This window comes from Homo sapiens, chromosome 21 (assembly GCF_000001405.40).
Source record: "Homo sapiens chromosome 21, GRCh38.p14 Primary Assembly".
In the NCBI taxonomy this organism is placed as follows: domain Eukaryota; kingdom Metazoa; phylum Chordata; class Mammalia; order Primates; family Hominidae; genus Homo; species Homo sapiens.
Window position 1 is genome coordinate 17,916,073 of NC_000021.9, and position 27,321 is coordinate 17,943,393.

Sequence of the window (27,321 nt, forward strand, 5' to 3'; positions counted from 1 at the left end):
AGCAGCAGAGATTGTGTTGGACCTGAAGGAGCCATGCAGACAGGGATGAGGCATGTCTCCTTCAGAGGAGGCAATGGGTATACCAGTGTGTGTCCCCAGGCTCAGATTACACACAGAGCCAGATGGTCTCCTTCTGATGCTTGGATACCGCAAATAGCCCCAGAACTTAAATGCAACCTCAGAGGAAAGTGGCAAGGGAGCCCAGATTAACCGAGATTAAGAAAAAGAACCTTATTTTTTTCCAGTTTATATCCAGATTGTCTCCAAGTCATTTATTACAAATTCATCTTTTTTTCAACTGATTGAAAACAACATCACATGATATACTAAAAATTATTTTATATATTTAGGTCTATATTTGGGCTTTCTTTTCTATCCCAGTGAATTATTTATCTATTTTTGAACAGGCACTGTATTTTCTTAATGTTGTAGCTTTATAATATATTTTATGACTTGTAGAGCTACTTCCTCCTTGTTACTGTTTTTTTTTTAGATTTTTTAAAATTATTTTTGCTCATATTTTTATAGAAACTTTAAGATTAGCTTCAGTAGTTCAAATTATTGCTAGTATTTTTACTAGAATCAATTTAAAGTTATGAATTAATGGAGGTTTCCAGCTTTATCATGTTGATTTTTCCTATTCAGAAACATGGTATGCTTTTTTTATTCGTTCATACCTATTTTTGTTGTTGTTGTTCATTACTAGTGTTACATAGTTTCTTCACATACATTTTGCACATTTCTTATTAGGTTTCCTGTGTATAAGTCAGAGTCCCAGCAAGAAAGGTATAGCAAATATTCCAATGGGCTAATGGAGGGGAGTTTGATGAAGGGATTATTTTCAAAGGTGAGGAAAGGGTTAAGGAGACTCAACAAGGGACAGTGTAAAGGCTAATTTTAGGTGTACACTTGACTGCATTAAGTAATATCCAGAGAGCCGGTAAAGCATTATTTCTGGGTCTATGAGGGCGATTTTGGAAAAGATTGACATTTGAGCCAGCAGACTACGTAAGGAAGATCCACTCTCACTGAATGTGAGCGAGCACCATCCAATCAGCTGAGGGCCCAGATAGAACAAAAAGGCAGAAGAAAATCAGATTCACTCTCTCTCTTCTGGAGCTGAAACAACTTTCTTTTCCTGCCATAGGACATCAGGACCCCAGGTTCTCTGGTCTTGGGACTCTGAGACTTGCACCAGGAATCCTGCCCAGGCTCTCAGGCCTTTGGACTCAGACTGAGCTACTTCACTGGCTTTCCTGGTTCTCCAGCTTGAAGATGGCAGATCGTGGGACTTCTCAGCCTCCATAATTGAGTGAGCCAATTCCCTGGTAAGTCCCCTCTCACGTATTTATATCTATATCCTTATACTATTTGTTCTGTTTCTCTGAAAAACCCTGAAGAACACAGCAGTAAAATAACCTGGGGCTAGCGACCACAGAGAGTAACAAGAAGGTGGAAGGAGTGTACCAGACTCTGGAGGGGACACTTGGAAGAGATTCATGCCCTACCCAAGGTGGGGCCATCTGTAGAGGGATGCAGACAACCCAGGGAAGGACACACCCTGACCTCACTCTTCTCTTGCCATCTGATTACCTGGCAGTGCCTTCTATTGGCCAAACCCAACAGAAGCCAGAGAAGAAAGGTGACCATTGATGTGGTTCACAAATGTCTATCTGCTGGGACACAGAGAAGAGTAAAGAGTAGATCTACAGGAGGTAAATGAATGATATTTAGCACACTGCATGTTTTATCTTTTTGTTAACAGTGTAAAAATGAAGTCTTCTGTTGTCTCTCTCTGATATGCGTGTGTGTGTGTGTATGTGTGTGTGTGTGTAGTTCTGCCGTTCTTGAAGCTAAACTCTAAAGGAGGTGATGAACAATTAGACAAGTAGTTATAATAAATGTGCTACTATATGGGAAATAAAAGATCTCATGAAAGTTTTAGTAGGTAAACCTTGTGAAGTCTGTGGAGTCATAAATGGCTCCTGAAACAAGACAGGTTTAAATAGATATCCTGAGGATAAGGAAGGTGTTAGGCAGATGAAGAGGCTGATACTGGTGGGGTATGGCAAAGAGAAACTGGGGGTGAGGGGGGTTTTCAAGTTTGATGAGGGGTTGAAATATTTTATTTCATATATTTTATTTTTTACTGTTTACTTGCTCTCTGACCTTGGGTGAATTACCTAACTTTTCTGTGCCACAATTTTCCATCTGTAAAGTAGTTATTATACTGTATTAGTCCGTTTTCACACTGCTGATAAAGACATGTGTGAGACTGGCCAATTTACAAAAGAAAGAGATTTAATGGACTTACAGTTTCACATGGCGGGGGGTTGAGGGGCTCACAATCATGGTGGAAGGCAAGAAGGAGCAAGTCATGTCTTACATGGATGGCAGCAGGCAAAGAAAGAGCTTGTGTAGGGAAACTCCCATTTTTAAAAACATCAAATGTCTTGAGATTCAGAACTGCCCCCATAATTTAATCACTTCCCCCCGGGTTCCTCCTAGGACACATGGGAATTGTGGGAGTTGCAATTTAAGATGAGATATGGGTGGGGACACAGACAAAGCATATCATTCTACCCCAGCCCCTCCCAAATCTCATGTCCTCACATTTTAAAACCAATCATGCCTTCCCAACAGTCCCCCAAAGGCTTAACTCATTTCAGCATTAACTCAGAAGTCTACAGTCCTAAGTCTTATCTGCGGTAAGGCAAGTCACTTCTGCCTACGAGCCTGTAAAATCAAAAGCAGGTTAGTTACTTCCTAGATACAATGGCGGTACAGGAATTGGGTAAATGCAGCCATTCCAAATGGGTGAAATTGACCAAAACGAAGGGGCTACAGGCCCCGTGCAAATCAGAAATCCAGCAGGGCAGTCAAATCTTAAGGCCCCAAAATGATCTCCTTTAACTCCATGCCTCACACCCAGGTCATGCTGATGTGAGAGGTGGGCTCCCATCCCCTTGGGCAGCTCTGCCCCTGTGGCTTTGCAGGGTAAAGTCCCGCTCCTGGCTGCCTTCATGGGCTGGTGTTGAGTGTCTGCGGCTTTTACAGGTGCGCAGTGCAAGCTGTCAGTGGATCTACCATTCTGGGGTCTGGAGGATGATGGCCCTCTTCTCACAGCTGCACTAGGTGGTGCCCCCATAGGGACTCTGTGTTGGAGCTCTGACCCCACATTTCCCTTCTGTACTGCCCTAGCAGAGGTTCTCCATGAGCACTCTGCCCCTGCAGCAAACTTCTGCCCGGGCATCCAGGCATTTCCATACATCCTCTGACATCTAGGCAGAGGTTCTCAAACTTCAATTCTTGACCTCTGTGCACCTGCAGACTCAATACCACGTGGAAGCTACCAAGGTTTGGGATTCCACCCTCTGAAGCAACAGCCCAAGCTGTTACTTTTAGTCATGGCTGGAGCAGCTGGGACACAGGGCACCAAGTCCCTAAACTGTACACAGCAGAGGGACCCTAGGTCTGGCCCACGAAACCATTTTTTCCTCCTAAATCTCCAAGCCTATGATAAGAGGGGCTGCCACAAACCACAAAGGTCTCTGACATGCCCTGGAGACATTTTTCCCACTGTCTCGGGGATTAACATTTGGCTCCTTGTTACTTATGCAAATTTATGCAGCCAGCTTGAATTTCTCCTCAGAAAATGGGATTTTCTTTTCTATAGCATTGTTAGGCTGCAAATTTTTCAAACTTTTATGCTGTTTCCCTTATAAAACTGAATGATTTTAACAGCACCCAAGTCACCTCTTGAATGCTTTGCTGCTTATAAATTTCTTTTGCCAGATACCCTAAATCATCTTTCTCAAGTTCAGAGTCCTGCAAATCTCTAGGGCAGGGACAAAATGCTGCCAGCCTCTTTGCTAAAACATAACAAGAGTCACCTTTGCTCCAGTTTCCAGCAAGTTCCTCATCTCCATCTGAGATCACCTTAGCCTGGATTTCATTGTCCATATCATTATCAGCATTTTATTCAAAGCCATTCAACAAGTCTCTAGGGAGTTCCAAACTTTCCCACATTTTTCTGTTTTCTTCTGAACCCTCCAGACTGTTCCAACCTCTGTCTGTTACCCAGTTCCAAAGTTGCTTCCACATTTTCGGGTATCTTTTCAGCAGCACCCCACTTTACTGGTACCAATTTACTGTATTATTCAGTTTTCATGCTTCTGATAAAGACATACCCAAGACTGGGCAATTTACAAAAGAAAGAAGTTTAATGGACTTACAGTTTCACATAGCTGGGGAGGCCTCACAATTATGGCAGAAGGCAAGGAGGAGCAAGTCATGTCTTACATGGATGGCAGCAGGCAAAGAGAGAGCTTGTGCAGGGAAACTCTCATTTTTAAAACCATCAAATCTTGTGAGACTCATTCACTATCACAAGAACAGCCCAGAAAAGATCTGCCCCCATAATTTAATCACCTCCCACTGGGTTCCTCCCATGACATATGAGAATTATGGGAGTTACAATTCAAGATGGGATTTGGGTGGGGACACAGAACAACCATATCATATACTAAACTCACAAGTTGTTGTAAGGATTAAACAAGAAAATACATTTACATTTTTGAGACGGTGCTTGGCAGATAGCACATGCTCAATAAATGGTAGCTATTATTATTAACATTGTATGAGGATTAGCTGCAGTCAGTAGAGAGTGAGATCTATCGGAGTAAATACATCTGACTGTATACTGCTAGTGAGGTAGTCAGAGGCCCCACTGAAGACAAAGATAAGGATCTGAAGAACTGACAGCTTGAGAATAAGTTTTCATATTGTTCCAAGGACAATAAAAAGATGGATTTAATACAGGGAAGTTATATGATCACTTGCCTATTTTAGAAAGTTTTGCTGCCACTGTTCATGTCTTGCCTGTTCTTCTACAAGGTACATTTCCAAGCTCCCTTGCAGTTAGGGGCCATATACCTAACTTTTGGCCAAGGGTTTGTATTAGTCTGGACTCACAAGAGAAACAGGACCAATAGGATGGATGGATAGATAGATAGACAGAAACAGATTTATTATAAGAAATTGTTTCCTGTGATTATAGAGGCTGGGAAGTCCAAAATCTGCAGTGTGAACTGGCAGGCAGAGGCTCAGGAGAGTCTATGATGCCAATGAAATGTGAAGGTAGTTTGCTGAAGAATTCCCTCTTGCTTGAGGAGGCTGGTCTTTTTGTTCTATTCAGGCCTTCAACTGATCGGATGAGCCTCATCTATATTATGGAGGGCAATCTTCTTTATGCAAAGTTCACTGTTTTAAATGTTAATGCCATTCAGAAACATCATCTAAGTTAACACATAAAATTAACCACCAAGGGTGTGTTGGGCAGAAGTGATGTGTGCCCCTTATAGGCAGGGGGTCTAACCCTCTTGTGTACAATCTTCCATGCTTTCTTCCTTTGCTACTTGGCAGGTGAGAGGTACAGTATCTAGAATAGGATGTAAACTCTAGGGGGATGAAGGAGCCACTAGGAAGAAGGAAGCAAGTCCTTAAAAGATTAGGTGGAATAGACATTTATCCACCTTTGTCTCTCATTGAATTGAGACGTGTGAGAAATAGGCAGATGTTGTGTTAAGCTTTGGGACTTAGGGGTTGTTTATTACAGCAGTTAGTATATCCTGACTGATGAATCATTCTGGCAGCAGGGAGGGCAATGTGTTGACACAGGTTAAGGCTACAGTCAGGAAGGCCAGCTAGGAATTTTTGGTACAAGTCCAGGCAAGAGATAATGCTGAGCTGGACTAGGTTGATGCAGCATGTGGACAGCAGATGTTTAAATTAATCATACTGTGAGTAGTAATAAGCATTTAGTGCTTTACCAAATTATCTCAGTGAACACTCCAAATTTCTATTTTTTCCAAGAAAAAGAATAAATTGACAGATTGTCCAGATTTATTCCACAATAAAGGAAAGTTATGAAATATGATGCTATTTCTGGTTTCTTATTTACAGTTAAGTTCATGTTCAACTTAACCAAAAGAATCTTAGGGAAAGTTGAAGTGATAATGCTTAATTAGGAGGTACATGGCAGTACAGTTAGAGTGAAGAAAAGAAGAAGTGAGACAGAGAAGTCTAAGAAGCAAATTCAAGGTGATATACCAAGTGGGCCACTGCTTATGGCTCTAAAAAAAAAAAAACACTGTACCTCAGAACAACCCAACAGATGGAAAATTGTGGGGGAAATTTATCTGTGAGCTCACTCATGTCTCCTGTCTCCTGTTGGCTAAAGGTCATTCCAGAGAAAATTTACAACATTGTTCCACTGCTTTAGAGGTGGAGCGAGGCCCAGAGATTCTGGATGTCTGGACAGCCTAGTATGACTTGCTGTGGCTGCAATTACTACAGAGAAAGCAGCCAATGGCCCACAAAATAGATGAGGCTGAAGAATCAGAGGAGACACTCAAGATGGGTTGATAAATCTGGTTTGGAACTCATCAGTGGTAGCTCTGATAAGGTTGTTAGCACACTTATCTATGAAGTACTTTAATTAAATAAAGGGTTATTTAATTGCCCATGTAGTGTGATAGTATTACTGCTATTTATGTGGAAATTAAACACAATAACAACAGCAATGTTTTACATTAGATTTCAGGAATGTGGGGTGACATTCCTTATGAGGTCTTAGCTTTAAGTTTATTCTTTTACTGAATGCACTGAGATGTAGCTCCTAAAGGTTGCGAACTCTGAATATCTGAGACAGGTCTCAGTTAATTTAGAGAGTTTATTTTGCCAAGTTTGAGGACATGCAGCCGTGACAGCCTCAGGAGTCCTGAAGACACGTGCCCAAGGTGGTCAGAGCACAGCTTGCTTTTATTCATTTTAGGGAGACGGGAGACATCAGTCAACATATGAAAGATGAACATTGGTTCCTTCTGGAAAAGTGGGACAATTGGAAGCAAAGGTGGGACAACTTCAAGCAGGGAGGGGACTTCCAGCTCATAGGTAGATAAGAAACAAATGGTTACATTCTTTTGAGTTTCTGATTAGCCCCTCCAAAGAAGGCAATGAGATATGCATTTATCTCAGTGAGCAGGGGTGGGGGTTGGCTTTGAATAGAATGGGAGGCAGGTTTGCCCTAAGTAGTCCCAGCTTGACTTTTCCCTTTAGCTTAGTGATTTGGGGGCCTCAAGATTTATTTTCCTTTCACAAGCTTTTCCATTATTTACAGCAGACTTTGTCTTTTTCTGCCTCTTTTTTTTTTTCCTGCCAAAGTCTGCATTATCACCATAAATGCTGACAACTGCCCTATGAGGTAGGTGTAAGCATGGGCTCAATTTTACAGATTTGTAAAATAAATTAAAAAAAGTAAAAAGATGTTAACAACTTTCCCACAAGATCTCAGAGGACATTTTATATAACATTTTCCCTAATTCTTCAGTTTTTTTTTTTTTTTTTGAGACGAAGTCTCGCATTGTTGCCCAGGCTGGAGTGTGGGGTCACAATCTCGGCTCACTGCAACCTCCGCCTCCTGGGTTCAAGCAATTCTCCTGCCTCAGCCTCTGGAGTAGCTGGGACTACAGGTGCCCGCCACTATGTCCAGCTAATTTTTTGTATTTTTAGTAGAGACGGGGTTTCACCATGTTGGTCAGGCTGGTCTCAAACTCCTGACCTCGTGATTCGCCCACCTCAGCCTCCCAAAGTACTGGGATTACAGGCCTGAGCCACTGTGCCTGGCCAGTTCTTCAGTTTTATACAAGTCCCAAAGGCCAGGAACAAAATACTTGTTCTTAAGTAGCCCTATAATTTAGAAAAGGTGCCAAACTACTCATGTGGAACTAGAAAGATGGCAACACAAAGATAGCTTTAAACAATCACTTACTTGAGTTTTGAAACAGGTTGAAGTCAAAGAAGCTGAGAGTCAGGAATTCTTTGGAGAGTGTTGTTGACATGCTGTTCTTCCCCTCTCCCTTTCTTTGGAAGAGAAGGATGTTGAGGAACGTGAGGGTCTCTTGGAGTTTGAGGGATAGAGTGTCTGATATTTGGCTCATGCCTGAGGAAGCTAAAGGTGAGAGGCTGTGGCTGGAGGTGCCTCTGCCCGGTAGCACCATACAAAGTGCTAAACAGGGAGCAAAGGCATGTACACAAGGGGGAGAATAAAAGTAGCATTTCCTGTGAAAGCTGTGTGAATGCAGAAAAGAGAGCTGGTCAGCATCCTCCGCTGGAGTATAGCTGATGGTGAAGGGACTTGAGGAGAGAAATGGGCAGCCAGAAGCCCAAGGGCCAGCAGGAGGGAGCAGTAAGTAGCCTGTGGGAGGAGAGGCAGTTGGTGCACTCTAGTGCAAAGGTGTCCGAGGGCTGTCTCCAAAAACCCTTTATTGGAGAATCAGCCTTGGAGACCGGAGAGAAATGATGTGAGATCACAACTGTGTCACCATGGAGCAGCTGTGCACTTTCCTGCCAACTCCTCTTCCCTGGGCCTGACCTAGCAGGAGAGGAGGTGAACAAGGAAGAGAAAGGAAGCCAGCTTCATCCTATTTGCCCATTGCAGGCTTCCAAGTCTGAAGCTGGGAGAGAAGAGAAGTTTTAACTTGAAATGAGATTGTCATTATACAATTAGTCGGGACTGTTCTGACCTGGACTTTTTATTATCTGAAATCTCTAGACTGAAGGACTTTTTAGCTGAACATAACATAAAAATCAATAATACATGCTTGATATTGCATTCAGGGTAGAAATTAATAAGTCTACAGAAATAAGTTTTTCTTTTTTGTACATTGTCATCATATCCACCTTGTAAAACCAAATAGGTGCACTGCTAATCATTCTGTTATATTACCACAGAGCTTGTCCTTATCTGGCTCTGTTAAAAAAATGCTACATAAGAAGACAAAGACACCAATCAATGATCACTCATTAAGCCTGTGGTCTGAATTAGTTAATACAGTTGGGAATCAGGATTAAGACATTCTAAAGGCAAATATTATAAAAAGAATAGTCTGGAACATAAGTCACTGGAAGTTTAGGTTAAAGAGTGCATTAGTGAGCAATCTGGGCAGCCAAGCTCAAGGGAGGGGGCACTAGTGGCCGTGTGGGGTGGAAGAAAGGAAAGGACACACCCCTGAGGAGAATCCAATCTGCGTATGAGCAGCCTCTGTAAATTCCACCTGATGCGACCTCTAGTGGTCACTCTAGTACCATGCTACAGTGTGCATATCCAAAATTGTGACCAGTCCATAACATGAAAGTTGACTCTCAGTTTTCACAGGTTTAAAATTTTAGAACTGTGCAGGCAGAGAGCTCTTAATACATATTAATGGTTTGATTGCTCAGGTGGAGAATGGGTGAAGATGTATGCACCTGGGCCAGTTTCCTGATAGCTGACTTTCATGCTGAGTGTAAATTTGGCCACACATTTGAAGTGTCAGAGGGCAAATAGGAAAGAATTAAATAACTCATTGATTTCTCAACTGACCTTTGGCATTATTCATAAAGAGTACATAGAAGGCTTTGAATAAATGCTTGTTGAATAAATAAACAAGGAGCTACTCCTTATGGAGTTTGCTTTTTCATTGTCATGAATTGGGAGATTTAAATTATAGGAACTTAGTATGTTAACATCCACAAATTTTAAATTCGCCTGCGAGTAAAAGGATAAATTTATTTATAATAGATTTGGATGATTCCTATTTTTGTTATTTTATTCATTACATTTTATACAGGCAATCCAGGACTATAAGTGAGCCACACACTTTCTGAGTTCCTTTGAGTAAATGACTATTCCATGTTGGTTGTCCAGAAAGGTCAAATAGTGGACCCAATATCTTTTATTGGTTATTTTCAAAGTTTAGTAATGTAGTGATTATAAGTTTCTTTGAGATGTTTATTCTTTTTCTTTGTTTACTCATGAGGATATAATTTGAGATGTTTAATAGACAATTAGTATTTCAAAACTTATTTTAATTTGTGGTTTAATTAATAGTAATTTAATTAGTTCCAATAAGCATAATGAGAACATAAAAACTCTAAATTAGTAGGTGTAATGATTCTTGTCTTTCCTCAAGAGGGCAGCAAAACCGCACTGCTCAGTTCTCAAAGATCAGGATGAAAATCTTAAAAAGCTGATACACAGACAGCTTTCATATTAGTCCAACTAATTAAACATAACATGTGTTGATATTTGTATTGCCATTTTACAAAAGTTTAGCTTTTCCTTTATGAAATGAAAAAAAAATTTAATTCTTTGTTTTAGGTTAGACAACAGAATTATACTTGCCTAGGGTCTCAACACACATTGTTTACACAAGGACAAATGATTAAGTAAGCTACTGAGGGTAACAAATAAATAAGGTGGGTTTTTTTTTTTTTTTTCCTGAAGTGTATTAGTCCATTCTCATACTTCTATGAAGAAATACCTGAGATTGGATAGTTTATAAAGGAAAGAAGTTTAATTAACTCACAGTTCCTCATTGCTGGGGAGGCCTCAGGAAACTTATAATCATGGCAGAAGGCAAAGGAGAAGCAAACACCTTCTTCACAGGGCCTCAGCATGGAGAGATGCAAGCAGGGGAAATGCCAGATGGTGATAAAACTATCAGATCTTGTGATACTCACTCACTGTCACGAGAACAACATGACAGAAACCGCCCCCACGATTCATTTACCTCCACCTGGTCCCGCCCTTGACACGTGGATTATAGGGATTACAATTCAAGATGAGATTTTGGGTGGGGACACAGCCAAACCATATCACCAAGTTACTAAAGTGATCGTACTTGAATACAGTTGGGAATCAGGATTAAGACTTTCTAAAGGCAAATATTATAAAAAGAATACTCTGGAACATAAGTCACTGGGAAGTTTAGGATAAAGAGTGCATTAGTGGGCAATCTGGGCCATTTTGGAAATTGCCTTTCTATAATCTATCCTAGGTAGAAAGACCTTTTAAATACACAGACACACACACACACACGCACACACACACAGACATACACACATATGTGTATGCATATATGTATATGTATGCATATATGTGTATATGTATGTATATGTATATCTGTGTGTATGTATGTATATCTGTGTGTATGTATATATGTATATATGTATATATATGTATATATGTATATATGTATATATATGTATATATGTATATATGTATATATATGTATATGTATGTATGTGTGTGTGTATATATATATATCCCAGAGTTGAAGAAAACTTGAATATTGGCTCCAGAAAAATAGGGAAATGAGAGGGAGTTGAATATACCCCTGCCCACACGTATAGAATGGAATTTGGGCATTTCCTAGGCAGATTATAGATGAGGTTTGTCTTTAGCGCTTATAACATTGTCTTTGATATCCTCTCTGTTCCTGGCTTGCTACGTGCTGTTCTTATATTTAGAAGGTGGTCATATGGTCCTGACAGTTGTTGCCTAATAGTGGTTCAAAACATTTCTTTTCTGTGGTATATTTGCATTTAATAGAGGACAGGAGAAGGCTGGAAGATTTTCAAGGCATAAAGGAATGGACTATAATGGATCCTCAGAGGCCTGCATCCTGCCCTGGGGCTCCTGCTTTCATTTTAATAGCAGCAGCTGTAGGGTGGGAACAGGGAGACCAGCACCTACATGTGCCACAATGACCAAATCCACCACTGTTTCTGCCAGAGGGAGGTACGAGTGGGCCATTCACCTTATAGCTGCCTGCCTCCACTGCTCATGCTGATAGAATATTCTGATGGACCATAGAGTTGGAGCATTTGGTCCATAGTAGGTTTATCTTTTATATATAGTAGGCTTCCAATAAATAGTTGTTAAATGAATAAAGACCTCAAATGATAAATGAAAGATGTAGCTGCTCTTCCACCTACGCAACACACAGAATAAAAATCCTCTTCCTTTTTGTGAGGTTAACTAACTTTGATGGAGAAAAATTTATATTGTTACTGGAAAGGGTACAGGTATATTCAGCTGGAAGCATTTGATGATTCTTTGTTCCATTATATTGAATAGGTTCACTAGGGTTCAAAACAGGTTCAATGGCATGGTGGCCATCATAAACAAATTTAAAGTTCGAATTTAAGGGTTGTTCTCATCTTTCAAATATTTAAAGATCTTGTAAGAATTAATATTTATCAAGCACTTATTCTTTGCAAATCCCTATGCTAGTTTTGTTTTGACATTTACTGCACAGTATAAAAAGAATAAACTATACTCTTGTCTTCAATGAATTTATAGTCTCCCTGGAGTTCCAAGACTAGCACACATGAAAACATCACTAAAGAAGGTACAGTATAGATCATTAATGCAAATGAGTAAGTGCCATGTCCCGGGATTAAAAGGGTTCTGAAAAGGGAAAGTCAATAAGAGGTAGAGATGCTGGGGGAAGGCTACCCAAAGAAAAAGGACCTTGAGGTGACTCCTAAAGTACAGGTAGAGTTTGGATACAGAGACAAAGCGGGGTGTCCTAGGAATAACAGCTGTATAAAGATGTAAGAAGTGCTGAGCATGGTACGTTTTAGAAAACAGATTAGAAAATAACTGCAAATTGGGTAACAGTGGGGGCCAAAGTTGGAAAAGTGATTAGGTTTTTAGAATTGAATCTAAAAAAAAAGATGAATTCTATAACATTATTGAGTAGGAGAACAATGAAAGGATAGCCATGTTTCCAGATAATTAACCTCCTTACTTCCCCTGCTGTGGAAACCAAGTCTGTAGAATAATTGGAAGGGGAGAAATGTTTGGGGTGATTAGAGGATGGTGGGACCAGTTTACTTCTTAACTGTGAATACTGTACTTATTGAGCTGAATTATATTTTCAAACGTATACAATAACATTTTAATAATTTAGGCTTAGAAATAATAAATCTGTATTTCAATTTTTATTCTAGGATAGTATTAGTGATAGATTCCAATCCCTGAACTTCATGCAAGTATCATAGTCACTAGAAATCCACTTAAGAGCTGAGATCCATTGGTGGTACATTTTTATTTTTTAGTAAGGAGCTGTTTCTAATGTCAACACTGGTAAACTAATGGTTTGTTGGAAGAAAAGACAGCCAACATATTCAGTCAAGAACATTTTACTTGTTCCATGTGAAAATCCATTATAGAAACAATTTCTTTTTTTATCCTGAAATAAACATATATTGCAGAAACAGACACAGGATATTTTCATGCCTCAAAGTAATGTCTTTGGCTAGTTGCTATTGAGTACTTTCATGATGTGAATATCATCACTAACAATTCATCAATTCTAAACTAGATTTCACTTAAACTTGCAAATTTACCATTTTAATGACATATTTAAAAAGTTTTTTGAAAGAAAAAGTACAAATAAAAGTAAAATAAGGGCTTCTGGTTCAAGATGGCTGACTAGAAGCAGCTAGTGGGTTCCTCTTCCATGGAGATGAATCAAAATAGTAAATATTCACACTTTGAATAGATCATCTAAAAGAGAGAGCACAACGGAATTCATCAGAGAAGTGATGGGAATTATGGAAAGCAAAGAAAGGTGAAGCCATGCAGCCTGCTGAGCTGGGATTGGTATGGAGCCAGGAGTAGCTCCCTGACATGGGGAAGGGCTGAGTGAGCAACCCCTGGGGCCCCACTCCCAGTGTGGATTTTCACAATCCTAGCGATGGGAGAGCTCCCTGAACCCCCCGGGGCCTCCAGTCTAACACAGGGAACTTGCCCGGAGATTGCGCAGAGGCACTGCTTCGGCCCACATGGAATTCCACAGGCTTTTCATTCCTGAAACGCTGCAGCCTGGTACCAGCTGCTGTTGCAGTGCCAGGAGGGAGTGGGGAGGGAGTGGGGAGGCCAAGTACTTTTGCACACCCCAAAGATGTGTATCACGGCTGCTGCTGCTGCAGGGTAGAGGAGCAAGCACATTGAGCACCCTTGCTTTCACTGTTCCCGCTAAGGGGGACCTGCCTTCCCTAGGCTCACAGTACAGCCACCTTGCTTCTGCCTGAGCATTTTGGCTGTGGCCTGGCACCCTTCTGAGAGCCCAGCCCCCAGAGGCCTGCAGTCTGCCCTGGGGATCCTGCTGCTGTTGCTGCAACTGCCACCACCACTGCCAGGCCAAGGAGGGAGTGGGAAGACAGGACACCTTTGCACACCTCAGTGGTGGATACCACCACTGTTTCTGTGGGAGGAAGGTGTGAGTGGGCCAAAGGCCCCACAGCTGTTAGCTTTCACTGCTCTCACTGAGCAGGGCTACCCCTGCCTGTGCATTTTGCTGTTGCCTAGCACCCTTTTGAAAGCCTAGCCCTCAGAGGCCTGCATTCTGCCCTGGGGCTCCTGCTTTCATCTTATTAGCAGCAGTTGTAGGGAGGGAACAGGGAGACCAGCACCTGCATGTGCCACAATGACCAGATCCACCACTGTTTATGCCAGAGGGAGGTATGAGTGGGCCATGCACCTTGTAGCTGCCTGCCTCCACTGCTCATGCTGATGGAATATTCCGCAGCTGCCTGAGTGGTCTGCCTGCCCTTTCCAAAGCATTCTGCCAGCAGCCTGGGGGCCAGCCCACCCCTTCCTATCACAGCCAATACCTGAACTGTGGGAATTTGAAGACATGTTTGCTGGTCCGGTCCTGGTTTAGTCCCTCCAGGACTCATGCACATTGTCCAGAGAGCCATTTAGGAACCTGAGGATTAGGGGATTGCCTAGCCCAGTGATGGCACCTGTTCATTCCCTCTGGGGTCTGAGGTTGAACTAATCCAATCACCTGACACCACCACAGAGGACTCCCACCTGCATGTACTGTAAGGCAGAACCATTCCCCCTCTCTCTATGAAGCAGCAGTGTTCCTACACTGGAGAACAGGAGAGCCACAAAGTTGTCTGTATTGAGCTGAGGGAAGAGATTCCATGCTGAAGCCATTCCAGTGAAGAATCACGGGACAGGTGTTTTCCCTGGCTTTCGGTGACATTGTGGCCTGGCGTTAGATGACAGTGTCTGCCTGAACTGAGAGTCATCAGCCCTGGCACAAGGGTGTGATACAGAAAGAGACTGTGTTCCTGTCTGCCCAGGATGTGGAGCTGGTGGAGCCCCCTCTCCAACTGCAGCAACCTTGGCACATTTCACCAGGAGCTCCCTCAGTCACTCCCGTCAGAGCTGGTGCCTGTGCTCCTCATTGAAGTATTCATGGGTGAGCTTGGTGTTTCTGTTCCTCCCAATAAACCGAGATCAAGCAAATACCCATCTGCTTCTGTGACAGACAGCTTTTTCCCATAAGCACCACCTACTGGTCTGGAGGTTGAACTGCAAAGCCCGATACAAAACATGCTAACAAGAAGTACACAAGGCTAAAGAATAAAAGCTAAAGGACGCTACTCAACTTATACTATAGTCACACTGTCATGGGGAAAATAATCCCATCTAAATGAAAGTAAATAAAAAACAAGAAGTGACAGCTTCTCCAGATGAGAAGAAACCAGTATAAGAACTCTGGCACCATGAAGAAGCAGTGTTGAGACATCCCCAAAGGATCGTACTAGCTTGCTAGCAATGGATTCTAACCAGAATGAAAATTCTGAAATTACAGATAAATAATTAAAAATATGGATTATAAGGAAGCTCAATGAGGTCCAAGAGAAAGTTGAAAACCAATGAAACAAAATCAGGAAAACAATGTAGCATATGAAAGAAGAAATAGATATCTTAAAAAAAGACAGGCAGAACTTCTGGAAATGAAAAATTCACTGAAGGAATTACAAAATACAGGCATGAATGAAACTGGGCCTCTATCTCTCACCATATACAAAAATTAACTCAATGTGAGTTAAAGACTTAAATATAAGACATGAAACTATGAAAATCCTCGAAGAAAACATGGGGAAAACTGTTCAGAATATTGGCCTAGGCAAAACATTTATGACTAAGAACTCAAAAGTAAATGCAACAAGAACAAAAATAGACAAATGGGACTTAATTAAACTAAAAAGCATCTGCCAGCAAAAGAAGTAATCAGTGGAGTAAGCAGACAGCCTACAGAGTGGGAGAAAATATTTGCAGACTATGCATCTGACAAACAACTAATATCCAGAATCTACAAGGAACTCAAGCAACTCTACAACAACAACAATGACAAACAACCATATTAAAAAGTGGGTAAGGGATACAAATAGACACTGCTCAAAAGAATACAAGTGACCAACAAAGATATGAAAAAAAGGCTCAACATTACTGATCATCAGAAAAGTGCAAACTAAAACCATAGTGAGATACCATCTCACATCAGTCAGAATGGCCATTATTAAAAAACTGAAAAACAGCAGATGTTTGTGAGGATGAAGAGAAAAGGGAACACTTATACACTGTTTGTGGGAATGTAAATTAGTACAACCTCTGTGGAAGACAGGATGGGTATTTCTCAAAGAACTGAAAGTAGGATCTACCATTTGACCCAGCAATCCCACTGTTGAGTATCTACCCAAAGGAAAATAAATCATTTTATCAAAAAGACACCTGCACTTGTATGTTTATTGTGACACTATTCACAATAGCAAAGTCGTGAAATCAGCCTAAGTGTCCATCAATGAATGATTGGATAAAGAAAACGTGGTATATATACTCCCGTGAAATGCCACTCACTCATAAGAAAGAATAAAATCATGTCTTTGCAGCAGCATGGATGGATTTGGAGGCCATTATTCTAAGTGAAAAACTGCAATGGAAAATCAAATACTGAAGGGGTGCGTTGCCCCTCCACACCTGTGGGTGTTTCTCATTAGGTGGAATGAGAGACTTGGAAAAGAAAAAGACACAGAGACAAAGTATGGAGAAAGAAATAAGGGGGCCCAGGGGACCAGCGTTCAGCATACGGAGGATCCCGCTGGCCTCTTGAGTTCCCTTAGTATTTATTGATCATTCTTGGGTGTTTCTCGGAGAGGGGGATGTGGCAGGGTCATAGGATAATAGTGGAGAGAAGGTCAGCAGATAAACACGTGAGGGAAGGTCTCTGCATCATAGACAAGGTAAAGAATTAAGTGCTGTGCTTTAGATATGCATACACATAAACATCTCAATGCCTTAAAGAGCAGTATTGCTGCCCGCCTGTCCCACCTCCAGCCCTAAGGTGGTTTTCCCCTATCTCAGTAGATGGAACATACAATCGGGTTTTACACTGAGACATTCCATTGCCCAGGGACGGGCAGGAGACAGATGCCTTCCTCTTGTTTCAACTGCAAAGAGGTGTTCCTTCCTCTTATACTAATCCTCCTCAGCACAGACCATTTATGGGTGTCGGGCTGGGGGACGGTCAGGTCTTTCCCTTCCCACAAGGCCATATTTCAGACTATCATATGGGGAGAAACCTTGGACAATACCTGGCTTTCCTAGGCAGAGGTCCCTGCGGCCTTCCGCAGTGTTTGAGTCCCTGGGTACTTGAGATTAGGGAGTGGTGATGACTCTTAAAGAGCATGCTGACTTCAAGCATCTGTTTAACAAAGCACATCTTGCATAGCCCTTAATCCATTTAACCCTGAGTTGACACAGCACATGTTTCAGAGAGCACGGGGTTGGGGTAAGGTCATAGATTAACAGCATCTCAAGGCAGAAGAATTTTTCTTAGTACAGAACAAAATGGAGACTCCTATGTCTACTTCTTTCTACACAGACACAGTAACAATCCGATCTCTCTTTCTTTTCCCCACAAATACTACATGTTCTCACTTATAAGTGGGAGCTAAACAACAGGCCCACAAGAACATACAGAAAGAAATAGTAGGCCGGGCGTGGTGGCTCACACCTGTAACCCCAGCACTTTGGGAGGCCAAGGTGGGTGCATCATGAGGTCAAGAGATTGAGACCATCCTGGCCAACATGGTGAAATCCCATCTCTACTAAAAATACAAAAATTAGCTGGGCATGGTGGCATGCACCTGTAGTCCCAGCTACTCGGGAGGCTGAGACGAGAATCACTTGAACTGGGGAGGCAGAGGTTGCAGTGAGCCGAGATCGAGTCACTGCACTCCAGTCTAAGTAACAAGAGTGAAACTTTGTCTCAAAAAAGAAAAAAAAAAAAAGAAATAGTAGTCACTGGAGACTCCAAAAGTTGAGAGAGAGAGTGAGGGTCGAAAAATTACCTATTGGATACAATGTTCACTGATTAGGTAATGGGTACATCAGAAGCCCAAACCCCACCACTATGCAATATATCCATGTAGCAAACCTGCACATGTACCCCCTGAATCTATAAAAATAAAAAAAAAAAACACATTCTCAAAAAACAGTAAAATAAAGTAGAACACATGAAAGAAAATATATCACAAAGTGCTGAGAATAGAAAAAATAACATCCGAAAGCTCTAGAATTTGGGGTATTTCACCACTTAACACAATTTGGTAAATGACAATGGAGAGCTTTTTAATACTCAGTTCACATTTTGTCTGTCTTTCACTCTCTCTCTCTCTCTCCCTATTAGTATAGAGTGTTTTCATAAATGTTTTAAGCTTGGGCTTATCCTCAGTCAGGGTTCTTTCTTCCTTCTTTCCTCCATTGTTATTCAAGCCATTGTTATAATTTGATTTTGTTTTCTCTCTGTGTCTTAAAGTGTATTATTTTTGCTTTTCCAACTGCAAAACAATAGTTGCATATTTTTTGGTCCCTTTAAGTTTTTATTATAACGTTTTTCATCCCACCTCTTCCTTTTATAATGTTAAATGGCAAAATGTCTATAATATTTAAAAATTTGCTTCCTCCCATCATCCTAAATATCTTATTTTTTATTATAAATAGACAAATTTATGTGCATATGTTTTGTTTGATTTTGTTTTCTGAAACAAATTAAAATTTGTATGTTCAAAATAATGTTGTGATATGAATACTGCAGGTGTTATTTCTATTTTGGGACTGAGAAGTTAGGCCAATAGACACCTATTTATTGAACTTCTTGAAGGATTCCTGGGCAGCCCGCAGTGCTAAGGGGAACAAAAATATAATAAGTACTAGGGATATTTTAGGAATATTTCCTGGCACCTTTTTAAATTCTAGTATTTGCAAATATCATGAGAGAATATTAATTTCCTCATATACTTTATTCCTGGCAGCCAGGAGAGTTGAAAACAATAAAGCTCTATTGAGAGACTGGACTGTCCAAATTGTTAGATTTTGGACCTGGCAACACCCACACCACCACCTAGTATTTCTTGAGGGTTTCATATATGGCAGGTACTGTTATAAGGACTTTTCATTTATATACTTATTTATTCATTAAAATAGCTATATGATATACACAGATTATCATAATCATTGTCATTTTATAAATAATAGGTAATGTAGGAAAAAATGGTTAAGTAACTGCTAGTGGCCACTCAGTTGGTAAGTGGTAGAGCCATGAATTTGAATCCAGGTATTCTAGCTTGAGAACCCACAGTCTTAACCACATATACCTTCCATTACTCCGTATTTCTTTTCCACAGCTCACAAGCACACTCTGATTAGGGGATGACTCTCTTCTGGTGTGCGTTTAGACAAATTGTACATTGTTTCATGGCAGAGACATTTGGGATTGTTTTGAAATAAAAATGAATAATTTAAGTGACAAATGTCAAGAATTATCTTTTTTAACAAAATACATTCAATATAGTTGGATAAATTAGATATATAGATGACATAATTGATGCACAAAGTAGAAATATCTATACCAGCAGTGTATCCTGATATATTAAATCTCTAAAGAGTGTAGCATGGAGAATAATTAGGAAAGAAAGGATTGGAGAGAGATTTGGAATATATGCAGAGAAAGATTGTATCTTCTGAGGATGTTGAAGAGTGTGTAGGTTTTGAAGAAGTGATGGGTGCTGATTGAGGTGATGTAAGGGATAGAGAGAAGAGCACGAAGACAGGAGTGCATACACTATTTGAAAGCAATAAAAAGTGATGAGTGCCACATCTAAGCAAGGTGTTAAGCTCTGAATTGCAGTTTGCCATGCTTTCTTTTCCCCTTTCTGTGAGCCTGGCAATTTTTTAGACAGGGGCTGCTTTATCAGCTTGAATTGCAGGGTGAAGAAACATGAAGCAGAGTCTTCTGACAACTCATTATCATATCGTAGAAATAGAACTTTCTTATTGTTAGCCAGGAAGATTTTTGTGGAACTTATTAATGTAGCATTTTCTACCTTATAACACTGGTTGGCAGGCAATTTCAGTATCCCAGGCATAAAGGGCTAAGGATTCAGGCAATGAAGGACAGGAGCAAAATCTAAAAGTCATTGGGAAGGAAGGCTTGAAAGACCTTGGTGACTGATGGGTTACGAGGTACAAAGATTTAGAAGAAACTGTGACATAACCTTAATGATTTTGGTTTGAGAAAATAAATCATCAAAATGAGGAAGCAAGGGTGGAAACAAGTGTGGAAGGTAGATTTTTAATAGGTGGGAGAGAGACCCTTAAATCCTTTTTATGAAATTAAAGATAGTATAAGATGATGTTAAAAAAAAAAAAAAGAATCATCAGAAAGAGTCCATTTGGAAAATGTGGTAGTTTAGAGAAATTTCATAGTACTTAGAATGTGAAACAGATCCAATGGAAAGCTGTTGTTTCATTATGTTTTGTTTTAAAGTTTGGCTATACATTTGCATACTTAAAATAATAAAAACATATAGGAATCCAGCAGTGCAGGAAAGATGCCGTGGACATAAGTGGTAAAATATGAGTTCTAAGGTCCACAGAAATTAGGAAGGGATGTGACTGAGAACATACACGGAGGGGTAATCTTTGGAGAAAGGAGAGTAAATATCTATTAAAATTTTAGAAGGAAGGGCCGGGCGTGGTGGCTCACGCCTTTAATCTCGGCAACGTGGGAGGCTGAGGCGGGCAGATCATGAGGTCAGGAGTTTGAGACCAGCCTGGCCAACATGGTGAATCTCTTTCTCTACTAAAAATACAAAAATTAGCTGGGCGTGGTGGTGGGCTTCTGTAATCCCAGCTACTCAGGAGGCTGAGGCAGGAGAATCACTTGAACCCTGGAGGCAGAGGTTGCAGTGAGCCGAGATCCTGAGATTGTGCCATTGCACTCCAGCCTGGGTGACAGGGTGAGACTCCATCTCAAAAAAAAAAAAAAAAAAATTAGGAGGAAGAGGATAAATGTAGAAATGGATATGCACTGAGATGAAATCAGACACTGGTAAAGTTCAAGATCTTGATGATCCCAGAGCATCAGTTTTCCACTAAAGTCAGTGAAGTTATCTGCTAAGTGGGACAGAAGGAGAGGGGCAGGTGAGAGCAGAGAAAAGAGAAGTTTTGAAATTGCCACAGAGAGGAGAATACCTGGTTGTGATTACAGGATTGCCAAACACAGAGGGCCCGTTTGAAGTTAGACTGTATGAATTCATAATGCTCCAATTCTGAATAATCCTCTGTCTTCTCTCAGTAGTGTTCAGTGTCCTGGGAACAGGCAGATCAAGCTCACAGTGAACAGGCAGAGAAAGCTCACGTTGAGGGTGATCCAGGTTTGTGATTCTTACAGATTAGGTTATTTGCACAGGTCATACTTATAGTTCTCTTTAATCTGTTCTCATTGTTTCTTCATAAAAATACAGTGTCTTTTCACAGATACATTTTATATTCCTGTGGTTCTGATGATCTTCACACTAGCTTGAAATTCATCTCTTTAACCACTGGAGCCTAGATTTCTTTTTTACACTTGGCTCTTTATAAACTATGATATTAATTTTTGGATAATTTTTCTACCTTCTCATTTTTTTCACTTTGATAGGCTTTTTCAAATAACTTTTATTGGTGAAAAAGTTATCTATAGTTTTTAATAAAATTTTGTCATCTCATTTAATTCATCTGTCAGTTACTTAATCATTATTTCATGCTGAATATGTGCCAGGTGCTATGTTAAGGGCCAAGGATACAAAGATAAAGAAAACAAGGTACCTGTCTTTGATGTGTTTATAGAGATCAAAAGTCTACTGGGCAAGTTCCTAAACTTTGTATAACTTGTGTTACAATGGCTTCTGTTCTCATTTGGTATTGGGCAAGTTCCCCTCACCCCACATACTTTTCATTAAATTTGTAATATTTGCGAATTTGAAAAGTAAATTTTCATTACATTTGGTTTATTAATACGTAGTTCCCCACTGCTGGGGCTGATATTTATTGTTACGACCACCTTATCCCACTAGGCACCACAGTCCCCACTGGGTTTTGCCATGTTTGTGCAAAAACGCTGCCATTTCTACAGACTGTCCCAATTTCTGTTGCTGTACTAGAACGCTTAAATGTTAATGATGATTGCTGACCTATTTGGACACAAAGGCAAGGTTCTGTTTTCCTATTTCAAGTTACACTTATTGAGAGGACAAGAAATGCAGTAGATACAGTTGAATAAAAACAGCTACTGCATATATATAGATATATATATATCTGTATATAGTGCTTATGAACTCCGATTTTAAATAAAATTAGTGGAAACCCACATTCTTTTTTTTTTTTTTTTTTTTTTTTTTTTTTTAAGGAAAGGGAGTCTCGCTCCATCGCCCAGGCTGGAGTGCAGTGGCTCGATCTCGGCTCACTGCAAGCTCCGCCTCCCGGGTTCGCGCCATTCTCCTGCCTCAGCCTCCTGAGTAGCTGGGACTACAGGCGCCCGCCACCGCGCCTGGCTAATGTTTTGTATTTTTAGTAGAGACGGGGTTTCACGGTGTTAGCCAGGATGGTCTCGATCTCCTGACCTCGTGATCTACCTGCCTGTGCCTCCCAAAGTGCTGGGATTACAGGTGTGAGCCACGGCGCCCGGCCGAAACCCACATTCTTTGCTTTCTAAAGGTCCAAGCTCTTCTGCAAATTCCCAGGGGCATACAAACATGTGGGCACTTCTGATTTCAATTTACTGCCTCTGCTGGATTTTTTTTCGTTTCTATCCTGTCTAATCTTGTTTCCACATAGGTATTATTTAAATATTGCTCCTTATCAATATCTACAAATAAATTATCCCTACACTATTCTGAAAATCTATTGGTGGGAAATGGGGAGAAATGTTTATAATTTGAAAATGCAAACACATTAAAATTGAAGATTTAAAATTTTATCTTATTTTTTGGTGGTAAAAACACTTAACATGAGATCCACCCTCTTAACAAATTTCTAAGTGTATAATACATTATTTTGACTATAGGTACAATGTTGTACAGCAGATCTTTAGAGCTTATTTGTCTTGCTTCACTGAAGCTTTATGCCTGCTGATTAGTAACTCCTCATTTCTCCTCCCCCCACCTCAGTAACTGCCATTCCACTCTCTGATGATATGGATTTGACTATTTTAGACACTGAATATAAGAAGAATCATGCAGTATTTGTCTTTCTGTGGTTGGTTTATTTCATTCAGTATAATGCCCTTAAGTTTCATCCATGTTGTCACATATTGCTGAATTTCCTTCTTTTTAAAGCTAAACAGTATTGCATTATATGTACACAACACATTTTCTTTATCCATTTCATCTGTCAGTGAACATTAAAAACAATAAAGTAATTCACAATTAAATAATAATTAAACAATAAATATAAATGTTGATAAATAAAAAATTAAACATTACAAATCCTTATTCATAAAAGTCTGAGAATGGGCATTTCTCACTAACCAAACATCTACCATCCTCTCAATTCCTTTCCTTCTCTGCCTCTTCTCTCTTACCTCTTTTACTCCATTCCAAAGTATTTACACTCCTCACATTGTCCGTGAATAAAATCCAGTATTAATTTGGGTTGCTTTGGATCTTCCTTCAGAATCTTTCCCTTTCTTTACCCTATGAGCTTTATCAAACAAGGTAGTTTCTCATGCAGTTTTCTTCTGAAGTAGAATTCCGGAACCCACTCTTAAGGCAATAAAACGTTCAATTTTATTACGTGTCTTATAATTTCATGAATCCAAGTGAAAAAGTGGAGGGTGTACATTGATGCAACCACTTTGGCAAACAGTTTGGCAGGACTAGATTCATGGGTGTGTAACCTGTGCTGTCATAGAGGTTTGTGAACTTAGAAGGGCCCACACTTCTTTTAGTGTTTGCTGTTGCTGTCTTGAAATTTTAATAATTTTAAAACAAGGAGCCCTGTGTTTTCATATTTCATTGGCCCAGAAAGTTCTATATGTGGTTCCACGGTCTGGCATTATTTAACACAGCTGAGCAAACTCAATGTTTCAGGGATTTCACTTCTAGATAAAAACCCAACTGCAGCTCATATCTATATTCACCAAAAGATATTACAGAAATATTTATCTCAACATATTGTCTATTATTCATAACAGGCAAAAATCTGGAAACAATCCCATTTTCATCACCAATGAAGAAACAAATGAATTGAGCTATATTCATACAAAGAAATACTACACAGTGAAGAAAATTCATAGTCTAGTGCTATAAATTATAGTGAACTAATATCACCAACATAATATTAGAAAAAAAGACAAAAAGAACAGTTCAATTTACCATGAAGTCTGAGATGAAGCAATCTTATAAAGCTAGAGGAGATTATATAGTGGTAGACTTTATGGAAGAAAGGCTTATAAATAGTAACTGGGAGGAAACATGATGGAGGCCCCTGGGATTCTGCTAATAGCTTTTCTTGACCTGGAGGGGAGTTACAAGTATGTTAGTTTATAAAGCTATACATTTATATTTTATGCACTTAAAACGTTTCTTATATGCACAAAAATTTAAAAGAATGCGTAGCATGGTGTTGTTACCAAGAGAAATCAGGGTGTATCTATCTGTTGTGAGCAGGGTAGAAGCTCTTCTAAACAATCTCTGATTAAGAAACTCATTGTATTAATAGACGCTCTTCATCCCCTCTATGAGCACACTGTCAGATTCTTGAAACTCACTGAATGGTCGTATCTGTAAACTTCTCTCTTACATACCATTTCGATAAACCATCTGATTTCCACTTGGATAAGTGAACATCTATGGTAATAGAAATATATTCATGATACTTAATTTTAAAGTAAACTATTAATAAGAATTTAAGAGAATTTTCAAGGTCCAGAGTGAGACTATGCCTCAGTAGGAGTCTGGTATAAAGAAACAGAAAGCCAACATGAATTGCTTGCCATCTCTTATCTCTAAATCTTTATGTGCCCTGTTTCATTCTTGTCAGTCTTACTTTTCTAATACTCATCTACTTGGTAAAATATGGCCATGCCAAGGTTTTCAAACTCTTATGTTCCTTTAGTTCAAAAGACAAGGCAGATTGATATATTCTCAAACTGAATTCTAAATTTTGGGGAAGAAAATCCCAAAACTTAACTTGCCTCTTTTTTTTTTTTTTTTTTTTTTTCATCCCTGGGCCACTTTCCAAGGCTAGAAGAGAGTCACACAGCAATAATATATTTATTGCAGTCCACTCTGTATAACCCCCAAAGCTTGTTTCTTAGTGCTTAAAATACACATGCATGCATAAATTCAGGAGCTGGGCTTTTTTTTTTTTTTTTTCTGAATGTTCAAGTACAACCACCCTGGCTTTCTGGCCAATGAATTGGCCTTGATTTATAGCACAAAGGGAACATTGACTAGTATTTTATTGAAACATAAAAAACAGAGGGATAATGTTCTTATCAAATCTCCACTTATAAGAAACATGACATCAAATGAATGGATAAAATATTAATTTTTCAAAAAATTATTTTGTGATATTTGGCTATCTATTTTTGGGAAAAATTATTTTTCTACTACATACCTGTCTTAGTTCGCTCAGGCTACTATAACAAAATACCATAAACTGGGTAGCTTATAAACAACAGAAATTTATTTCTCACAGTTCTAGAGGCTGGGAAGTGAAATGAAAGATCAGGGTGCTGGCAGATTTGTTGTATGGTGAGGGCCCTCTTCTGGGTCATAGACTGCTGACTTCTAGCTGCACCTTTACATTGGTGGAAGGGTGATGCCACTCTCTGGGGCCACTTTTGTAATGGCACTAAACCCATTCATGACGCCTTCACTCTTATGACCTTATCTTCCAACAGCCCCATTTCCTAAAACCATCACCTTGGGGATTAAGACTTCAACATATACATTTTGGGGGGAATACAAACATTCAGATCATAACAACACTAGCCATTAAACAATGCAGATAGAAAAAGTATGTAATAGTAAAAAAGTGTAAAAAACAAGCAAAGAAACCCTCATGACCATAAAATATAAGATAATTTGTTTGGAAACATGGGCAAAAGAAGTGATGTTTAAACATAGTATAATATGGTTTGGCTGTGTCCCCACTCAAATCTCATCTTGAATTGTAACTCCCACAATTCCCACATGTTGTGGGAGGGACCCAGTGGGAGGTAATTGAATCATGGGGGTGGGTCTTTTCTGGGCTAAACTCATGATAGTGAATAAGTTTTATGAGATCTGATGGTTGTATAAAGGGGAGTTTCCCTGCACAAGCTCTCTTGTTTGCTGCCATGTGAGATGTGCCTTTCACCTTCCACCAGGATTGTGAGGCCTCCCTGGCCACATGGAACTGTGAGTCCATTAAACTTCTTTCTTTTGTAAATTGCCCAGTCTCAGGTATGTCTTTATCAGGAGTGTGAAAGTGGACTAATAATATATAGTACAAAAGAAAAAAAGTAATGGGAAAAATTAATACATTTGATTATATCAGAATTTAAAACTTAAAGATACCACAAAAATTTAAAGGTTAATGTGGTAGTCAGTTTTATATGTCCATGTGGGTAAGCAATGGTTTCGTATTAGTCAATAAAACCCAAATAGGTGTTACTGTGAAGATATTTGGAAGATGATGTGGTTTGGCTCCATGTCCCCACCCAAATCTCATGTTGAATTTTAATTCCCAGTGTTAGAGGAGGGACCCGGTAGAAGGTGATTGGATCATGGGGGTGGAATTCCCTCTTGCTGTTCTTCTTATAGTGAGTGAGTTCTCATGAGATCTGGTTATTTAAAAGTGCATAGCACTTCTACCTTCACTCTCTCTCATCCCCATGTGAAGATGTGCTTGCTTCCTCTTCACTTTTTGCCACGATTGTAAGTTTCCTGAGGCCTCCCCAGCCATGCCCCTGGTACAGCTTGCAGAACTGTGAGTCTATTAAACCTCTTTTCTTTATAAATTACCCAGTTTCATTTAGTTCTTTTTGGCAGTGTGAGAACAGACTAATATAGAAGATTTGATTAAAGTCCATAGTAAGTTGACTTTAGTAATGAAGATTATTCTAGGTAATATAAGTGAAGTGGGCCTGATTTAATCTGTTGAAAGGGCATAAAAGAATAATTTAGGTTTTCCTAGGGGGAAGAAATTCTGCTCTATGGATAGCAGCTTTAGTTTATGTCAAGAGCCCCAGCCTGCTCCTCCTCAAAGCCTGCCCTACAGATTTTGGACTTGCCTAAAAAGTTCCCACAGTTGCATAG

General features: G+C 39.9%; 1 protein-coding gene and 1 long non-coding RNA gene across 5 annotated transcripts in view; one reads left to right on the top strand and one right to left on the bottom strand.

Annotated features, from left to right (window-relative positions):
• Nucleotides 1,268-27,321, top strand: part of CHODL (chondrolectin) — a 350,031-nt gene continuing 323,977 nt past the window's right edge. For all 4 annotated transcript variants that reach the window (NM_001204176.2, NM_001204178.2, NM_001204175.2 and 1 more), the window contains exon 1: nt 1,268-1,328. The gene's annotated coding sequence lies outside the window, so the exon portion shown is untranslated. The remainder of the gene's footprint in view (nt 1,329-27,321) is intronic.
• LOC124905000 (uncharacterized) lies at nt 13,017-15,136 on the bottom strand. Its single transcript, XR_007067824.1, has 2 exons — nt 14,711-15,136; nt 13,017-13,399 (listed from the first exon to the last, which is right to left on the bottom strand). It is a non-coding gene; the product is annotated as an uncharacterized LOC124905000 (long non-coding RNA).